Source organism: Homo sapiens, chromosome X (genome assembly GCF_000001405.40).
Source record: "Homo sapiens chromosome X, GRCh38.p14 Primary Assembly".
Taxonomy (NCBI): domain Eukaryota; kingdom Metazoa; phylum Chordata; class Mammalia; order Primates; family Hominidae; genus Homo; species Homo sapiens.
In genome coordinates this window covers 35438631-35447951 of record NC_000023.11, presented here as the reverse complement: position 1 = coordinate 35447951, position 9321 = coordinate 35438631, and the positions used below count along the sequence as shown (strand labels likewise).

Here is a 9321-nt window from a genome sequence, read left to right as displayed (position 1 = left end):
TATTTTAAGAAATTGTCACAGCCACCTCAACATTCAACAACCACCATCCTGATCAGTCAGCAACCATCTACATAAAGGCAAGACCCTCCACTAGCAAAAAGATTACCACTGGCTGCTGAAGGCTCAGATGATTGTTAGTACTCTTTAGCAATAAAGTATGTTTTAATTAAGATGTGCACATTGTTTCTTTAGCCATAATCTACTGCATACTAAGTAGACTACAATATAGCATAAAAGTTACTTTTATATGCACTGTGAAACTAAAAATTTATGTCACTCACTTTCTTATGATGTTTGTTGTATTGCAGTGGTATGGAACCTAGCCTGAAATATCTGTGAGGTATGCATGTTAACCAATATCATAATTCTAAAAAGGTGACAACTACTAGGTTTGGGGGATTATTCTTGATTCCTCTTTCTGCTAGTAGAAATTTGAAGTACATGCTATTCTACTTAATATTTATTTTGAAACACTCTCCCAAGTCCTATCCATTATCAGGACCATGTTGCAAATAACTCTCAATGTTTTTAGAGTATTTTGACTGTATATTTTTTCTGGTTTAAAAATTTTATATTTATCTGTCTGAAATGGCCTCCAGTGGAACCAGATATCAAGAAATATCTGAATCCTCAGGACTTACAGACTGAATTCACAAGACACCCAAAGGTGTCAAGAAAACATAAGGGACAAGGCCACAGTGTCAAACTCTCTACTCCCCATTACCAACTGTGTACTATTTTTTTTTTCATTTAAAACATTAGTTTTATCATTTCAAAGTAACATAAGTACATATTTTAAAAGTCAGATTATAAAATATGTATAACAAAATATTAGTTACTGCTCTTCTCCTCCTGGTCCATTTCTAGAGACAATTATTTTTCCACTCCCTTAGCTGTTTTTTATGGTATTTTCCCATCTACATATTTCCTTTTTATTTTTAGTTGACAGATAATAATTATACATATTTATGAGATACAGGATGATATTTCAATATGTGTATACAATGTATAATGATCAAATCCGGATAATTAGCACATATGTCACCTCATTTATTATTTCTTTGTGTTATGAATATTCAATATCGTGTCTTCTAGCTTTCTGAAAATATACAATAAATTATAGTTTATAATATTCACCCTACAGTGCTACAGGACTCTAGAACTGATTTATCTTATCTAGCTTTAATTTTGTATTCCCTAACCAACCTCTGCCCATCTTCCTCCCTTTCCCTTCTTAGCTTTTAATAACTGCAGTTCTACTCTCTACTTCAATGAGCTCATTTTTTAAACTCCAATATATGAGTGAGAACATGCTGTATTTATGGTATTTATGTTTCTGTGCTTGATATATTTCACTCAACATAATAATTCCGCCAGGCTCATCCATGTTGCTGCAAATAATAGTATTTCATTCTTTTTTGTAGCTGAAGAGTATTCCATTGTTTATTGGAAGAGGTTTTAAATTTGATAAGAAGTTTAACATGTTTCTCAGGCAGTTTTTATTGTTTTCATTTTCTTGTGAAAACATTGCTTAGAATGTCAAGTTTTACATAGCTGTAGTCCTAGTTCCTATGATTATCTGTAGAGCAATGTAAAATCAATTAAATCTTCTGAAAATCTGAATGCAAGACTACTCTTTTTTATATTTTGTTTTATCCTAAGAATCCAAAGGTGTTGGAAAATAATTCAAGTACAGAAAATTATTGCATCGTAAAAATTACATACGCTGATTTGGAATTTGGTTGCAGATTTTCTGAACCTTGGTCAAGTGTCTGTCAATTCACTCATGCGTTTATGCCCTTATTTAAACAGGTGCTGAGCTCTGAACTATGTTCTATACTCAACTTTGAGATACAAAGACAAATGAACCCTGATTGCTAGATCTTTCCTACAAGGGCTCCCTGACTGATAGGGAAGAAAGATGTAAACAAGTAGTTTTAAGACCATGGAAAGTGTTGTAACTGGTTTTGGTATGGAAATATAGGGGTGGGGACCTGGCTGAGGAGAAAGAAAAGGCCTCAAGGAGGAGGTTATATTTTACCAGGAAATTAACGGAATTGGAATATTCAAGTATAGAAGAAGCCTAAGACATCTGAGACTGGGAGGAGGATCATGCGTACTAAGAAACAGGAAAAAACAACAACAAAGTGCTTTTCCTACTCTCACACATCACACTACACAACGCTTCTGACACCAGATTTCTCTGGTGGTGATTTTTCCCCACATACCTAGCAATTCTCAGCAGACAAAACTGGTTGTCCTCTAATTTAACTCAATTAAGACACTATCTACTTGGGCTTAGAGTCAGTCCCACAGGTTATTGGCTCACTCCCACAAGATGGCACCCCCCAACTTTAGATGCTAATCGATAGCCCCAGGTTGTGACTTGTGCTTCTGACTGATTGGCTGTATGTTGGCGTTCTCATAACAGCCTCCTCAGATCCTATTGATTTGCTAGACTCACAGAACTCAGGGAAACATGTATTTACCAGTTTGTTATAAAGGATATTACAAAGGAAATAAATGAACAGACAGAAGGAAAAGATACAGAGGGCAATGTATAGAGTTTAGTGGGAAGGGGCATGGCACTTCCATGCTGTCTCCAGGTACACTACCCTCCAAGAATCTCCATGCCGTCAGTAACCTGGAAGTTTTTTGAATGCTGTCTTTTTGTGTTTTTATAGAAGCTTCATTATGTATGCCTGGCTGATTACATCATTGGCCATTGGTGATCAACCTTCAGCCCCTCTTCCCTCCCTGGAGTTTGGGGGATGGGGTTGAAAGTCTCAACCCTTTAATCATGCCCTGGTCTTTCTGGTGACAAGCCCACATCCTAAAGCTACTTAGGGGGCCCCAGCCACCTGTCATCTCATTAGCATACCAAAAGCACTCTTATCACTTAAGAGATTCCAATGGTTTTAGGAGTTGCATGTCAGGAACCAGGGGCAGAAACAAAGTATGTTTTTTTTTTTTCTTATAATAACACAGTGTGCAAAAGTACAAAAATGTGACAGAACAGGACATGTGTAGAGGCTAGTAAGCAATGGCTCTAGCTCAGGATAGATGGCCTTGGGAATGACAGAAAATGTGGAAACAAATGTATGTGGAAAGAGAAAACTTTAAAGTGACTCAGATTTTGCTCAGCAACAACAATAAATAAAGGGCTAAGGAAATGGATTCAAATTTGGATGCACTAACTTTAGGTCAATCGGACATTTATATTGAAATGACCAATTAGCATGTGAATATATTCATATGGAACTGAAAACAAAGGTTTGATTTTGATATAAATTTTATGACTCAATGAATTGTTATTAGTCAAAAGCAGAGCTATACATGAGAATGCTAAAAGTTTATAAAAGTAGCACCTCTCAAACTCTAGTATAAATTAGAATTATCTTCATTGATTGCTAAAAAAGCAGATTTATAAGTTTCATTCTTCCTCATGCTAATTTAATATATGTTTGGCTAGATGTAGTAAGATACATTTTAACAAGTGCTCCAGGTGATTCCAAGGTTCACATGTTAAGACAAAATATTGAGTAAGAGAAGGGAGGCATAGAAACAATTCTGAAAAATGAAAATTTAAAGACAACAAACAGACAGAAAAAGAGGCATGAATGTAAACAGAAAAGAATCTGGTTAGTGAGAGAAATGTCTAAATTCTGCACCTGAGGTGGGGGTAACTCAGTCAGGGATCCTTTCCCCACTGAACCAACCACACCAAGGCATAGGTCCTGAGAACAGACTGGACAACTTGGGGTAATTACCCCTGGGAAGGAAAAAAATTTTGAGGAGCCCAAGGAAAGTTTTGAGTACTAGCAAACCTTCTTGTAAACTCCTTATTGAAATTCACTCACAGGAAGGAAAAAATGGCATTCATTTAGAATCTTTCTTACAAATGAAGTCAATGTTGTAAAGGTTTGCAACAAGTTCATTTAGTCTTTTTATTTCTAAAAGCATCCTATATTCCCTTACTTTTTAAATTAAATTTCACTGGTGTGGAATTCTCTTCTTGCCACTTTGAAGCTATTATCCCATTTTCCCTGGCCTTTCTTGTTGATAATGAGATATATACTATTTGTGAAATTGTCATTCATGTTTAGATAAACAGAATTTTCTTTCTTGTAACCTTTAAGACTTTTTTAAATTGTCGTTTTCCTGAAATTTTTGTATTATATATCTAGCTATGGATCTATTATGCTATCATTTTATTATTATTATTATTATTACCCTGGTTGGTACTCAAAGTGCAGTGTTAATTTTAATATGTCTTTCTTCAATGTTAGAAAATTCTCAGCTAATATCTTATCAAATCTTCCTTCCCTGCCATTGCCTGCATTCTTTATATTCTAAAACAAATATTTCTAGATAATAGTTATTGAAGTTTAAGTTAAAAGGTCTGAATAGACCTTATGGGTATCTTAACTGCTTGTATTTTGCCTATTTTTTTCTTTTCTGCTTAGCAGATGAAGTGTTGAATGCTATCTTCAAAGTCAGTAATATATGTGTTCAGTGGTGTTCTGTTTCTGAGGGAAGAGAGAGACCCTCTCATATTGTTTTATACTCAGTACCTGTTTTAAGAAAAAAACAAGGAAGTAAAACCAAAGACAGGCAGCCTGGCGCCAGGCCCAAAACCAGGCCTGGGCCTGCCTGGCCTAACCCCAGTAGTTAAAAATCAACTCATAACTTAGAAACCGATGTTATTCATAGATTCCAGACATTGTATAGAAGAACATTGTGAAACTCCCTGCCCTGTTCTGTTTCACTCTGACCACTGGTGCATGCAGCCCCTGTCACGTACCCCCTGCTTGCTCAAATCAATCATGACCCTTTCTGTGAAATCTTTAGTGTTGTGAGCCCTTAAAGGGGACAGAAATTGTGCATTCGGGGAGCTTGGATTTTAAGGCAGTAGCTTGCCAATGCTCCCAGCTGAATAAAGCCCTTCCTTCTACAACTCGGTGTCTGAGAGGTTTTGTCTGTGGCTCGTCCTGCTGCATTTATAGTTTACCCTACCCATTGATTTTTTATTTTAATGATATTTTTGCTTCCCATATTTCAATTTGATTTGATTCTTTATCATATTCAAACTATTTTATATTATATATTCAACCTGTAACTTCTTTAATATTTTATTGCTATTTTTGTGTAATATTTTTATAATTTTTAGAATAAGCATAGTCCTTATGTCATTGAGTATCCCAACCATGCTTATTTTAAAAATATAAGCCAAAAACAAAATTCTAAGCACTCCAACCACCTGAATGGACCCCTCCTCTCAGCCAAGAGCATTCCAAAGTTAACCTGAAAAACTAGTTCATGGGCTGGGTACAATGGCTCACACCTGTAATCCCAGTGCTTTGGGAGGCCATGTCATGCAGTCTGCTTGAGCTCAGGAGTTTGAGACCAGCCTGGGCAACATGGTGAAACCCTGTCTCTACAAAAAATACAAAAGTTAGCAGGAAGGGGTGGTGAATGCCTGTAGTCCCAACTCAGGAGGCTGAAGTGGGAGAATCACTTGAGCCTAAAGGTTGCAGTTAGACAAGATTGCACCACTGCACTAACCAGCCTGAGTGACACAGTGAGACCCTGTCTCAAAAACAAAAACAAAATAACTAGTTCACTAGTTCAGGTCATTATGTGAAGGGGACATCAGACCTTCCTGCCTTTTGGAATTCAGGAAAAGCCAGTCAGTATTAACAACAACACAGCCTTTAAGTCTGATTTTAAAGCATTTACAATCTATTATCTCTGAAGGCTGCTACCTGGAGGCTTCTTTTGTGTGATAAAACTTTGGTCTTCACAACCCCTTTATCATCATAACCCAGACATTCCTTTCTACTGATTCCAGGTCTTTAGATAATAACTCAACCAATTGTCAATCAGAGAAATCGACCTATAACCTGGAAGTCCCCACTTCAAATTGGCCCACCTTTCCAGATTGAACCAATGTACATCTTTTAGGTATTGATTGATGTATTATGTCTCCCTAAAAGGTATAAAAGTAAGCTGTACCTTGACCACCTTGGGCACATGTCATCAGACATTCTGAGGCTATCAGGGGCACATCTTTAACCTGGGCAAAATAAACTTTCTAAATTGATTGAGACATGTCTCAGACACTTTTGGTTTACAAATGGATAACCATTAAGGAAGTCTGAGTGGAGCTTCCACTGACTTTTGACAAATCTCCTATTGTTGTTTGGTACCAGCTTGAGCTATCTTTAAGTCTCAAACCAATAGGACAATTTGCAGAGGTCTGGGAGCTCCCCCCACCACTTCCAGAGAATCCATCATCTCCCCAAATTTGGTCAAGATCTACAGTTTATTTTGCTGTACAATTCATTTTCTGGAGTTTTTATTTGCTTCCAACAGGAAGGCAAGTTTTCCTGCTTCCATGATGATAGAGAATAGAGAACTCCTCTCTGGAGTTTCAGCTAATTTCCAACAGGGAGGGGAGTTTGAGTTTTTTTTCTTTCCTGCTTCAAAGATAGTAGAGAACGGTCTTTAGTTGGGGCCCATGCCTAGGTAAGTAGCTAAATTGGTTTTTTTTTGGTCTTGGAAATTCTCCTTCATGACTAAAAGTTAAAATGGACAACCAGTTGGTCTTAATTTCTCCTAACCATTAGAGTGCTCAGTAATCATATTGTCGGGATTTTTGTTGTTGTTGGTCTGGCCTTTCTCCCATTGGATTTGACCAACCCTGCGTGACTTGGTCAAATCTGAATGAGAATTCCAAATTATGGGGAACAAGGTCCCTGAATTGGCTAAAATTCCTTGCAGCTGTAAAAAACTAACAAAAATGCACTTGATTTCTGTGTTTGTTTCCTTTCTTTAAAAAAAAAATAGTTCTTTTGTTTACTTTTCTTCCACCCTATTTCTCCTTCCCCTTTTACCATTTTCAGTACCAAAAACATATAGAGAGAAGGTTTCTAATGACTTGAACCCCTTAAAGAACTCAGAACAGAGGGGCCACTAACCCTTTTTGGAGTGTTCTGTTTTCATTGTGGAGTTTCAATTGTCATGCGTGTCCCAAAAAGAAAGGACATTTTGCTCCTCACAACTGAAAGGCACTCCTTGGTGACTGGGGGCCCAGTGGGAATGTCTGGGAGATTGACCCACTGCAACATGCAGTGGTCTCACAGGGAACACCCAACAAAATTATTTTTAAAAGCCTCATCCAGGAAACACACAGGAGCTGGTCACACTGCATTTCGAGGTCTCTTGGAGGGGCTAGACCTCTGGAGAAAGAAACTGAGGCACATAAGAAGGCAGAAATGAGTCAATGGTGACAAACTATGGAGTCCCAACCACAATCAGCACATCTTGATCAACAACAGTAAACCTTAAGCCACAGCTCAGTTTTTCCATTAAGAAAAGTGGGAAACAAATAATCTACGTATCAATGAAAAGAGTCAAACTCTGTAAAATATTTGAAGAGATTTATACTGAGCCAAATATAAGTGACCATGGCCATGACACAGCCTTCAGGAGATCCTAAGAACATGTGTTCAAAGTGGTCGGGGTGCAGCTTGGTTTTATACATTTTAGGGAGGCATGAGACATCCATCAGATACATTTAAGAAATACATTGGTTTGGTCCAGAAAGGCAGGACAACTCGAAGCAGGGGGCCTTCCAGGCTATAGGTAAATTTAAACATTTTCTGGTTGACAATTGGTTGAGTTTGTCTAAAGACCTGGGATCAATATAAAGGAATGTCTGGGTTGTGATAAGAGGTGGTAGGGACGAAAGTTTCACTATGCAGATCAAGCTTTTAGCTAGCAGGCTTCAGAGAGAATAGGATGTGAAATATTTCTTATCAGACTTAAAGTCTGTATCGATGTTAATGCCAGAGAGGTATAATGAGGCTTGTCTGATCCCCACTTGCCTTCATGGCCTAAACCAGTCTTTCAGGTTAAATTTTAAGAGCCCTGGCTGAGGAGGAAGTTCATTCAGATGGTTGGGAGGGGCTTAGAATTTTATTTTTGGTTTACATGATAATGAGGAAAGACAAGGAGAATGACGCATTTTCAGGTACCCCATTTGTTTTTACAGCGACTCAATTTGTGATTGTGTAAATGGAAGGAAGTGCCAGGTTTTCTAATACTCCAGCTGGTTACACATTAGGTCTGTTCTTGTGCACATGTTAAACTGATGGTCAAATTACATCAAGGAAAATCCAGAGGCCAAAGGTTGACCTGCAACTATAAAGTTCCTAAGTTCTCTATCTCTCTGTTTTCTGTCTGCATTATATCTGCTATTACTTTTCTGTTGAGATAAAATACACTGTGTGCATCTAAGCATTTATTGTTGTTATTGTTCTGGCAAAAGGGTGAGTTTTTACTAATCTCATCAGAGTTTGAAAGAAAAGCTATAGAATCCTTGTTTGCATAAATTTGTGAGAGAGGAGACAGGAAGGAACTGATTAGGCAGATAGTTAGGACGGGGCTACCAGTAGAAGTCCCTCCAATAAAAGAGCAGCCTGGAATAAATCAAGCTGCAAGCACAGATAAGTAAGCAGGGGTCAACACTTTTGTTTTTTTGTGCAACCAGCGAGCTCTGCCTATACATGGTGGGCTTCAGTGAGCACATTCCTTTCCTTTTTGGGCATACACAGATAAGGGAATTTGCACAAGGGGGCTTGCCTAAGACTGGCCTGCAATTGTGTAGATAAAAAAGGTTACATAGAGTCAGACATGTCCACAGTGGAAAATTCCATCTCCTGATCCATGTGCAGTAAGGAAAATAAAACAATACGTAGTAACTCAGGCTAAGGACCCACATATGCACTAGAGGAATGGGGTGGAGCTAACAAGAATTTGCACCTTATGCAAATAAGACACCCAGCCCTAAATGTTTTTTTGTGCCCTATGCAAATGTGCTCCCTTAGCTTGTTTATAAGTTTTTGTATTGAAGTGTGAAACAGCAACCCTCCCAGACACCCCTCTGCTGTGGAGAGCTTTCCTCTCTCACTTATTAAACATTTGCGCCAACCTCACCCTTGGTGTCTACGCTCCTTAATTTTCTGGGTTGTGAGGCAAACAACTCTGGGTAATACCTCAGACATCAAGACTGCTCCAGTGACTGTATTTTGCTTCATTTGTATGTGTGTGTTTAAGTGTATTTACAATTATTTTACTGTGTGTTTTTGGCCACAAGGTAGTGAATTGGCTTAAAGTTAAAAAGCATTAATTAATTAATTAATAAGCTCAAATGATTTTCAAGCTCACATGACTTAAGTAAAATATTTAATAAACTGGCTTTAAAATTGTTGGTAAAGTAATATTAGAAATGTCTTAAGAATTGTCAACATACTTTTG

At 37.7% G+C, this 9321-nt stretch overlaps 2 annotated features.

The window, feature by feature from the left end:
- Positions 4515-4714: an enhancer, noted in NCBI's record as "active region_29517". NCBI's record gives its function as "activates an Ori minimal core promoter by ATAC-STARR-seq in GM12878 lymphoblastoid cells {active_cell/tissue: GM12878}" and the evidence as "EXISTENCE:reporter gene assay evidence [ECO:0000049][PMID:35858748]".
- Positions 8486-8780: an enhancer, noted in NCBI's record as "tiled region #13056; HepG2 Activating non-DNase unmatched - State 24:Quies". NCBI's record gives its function as "activates a minimal TATA promoter and a strong SV40 promoter by Sharpr-MPRA in HepG2 cells {active_cell/tissue: HepG2}" and the evidence as "EXISTENCE:reporter gene assay evidence [ECO:0000049][PMID:27701403]".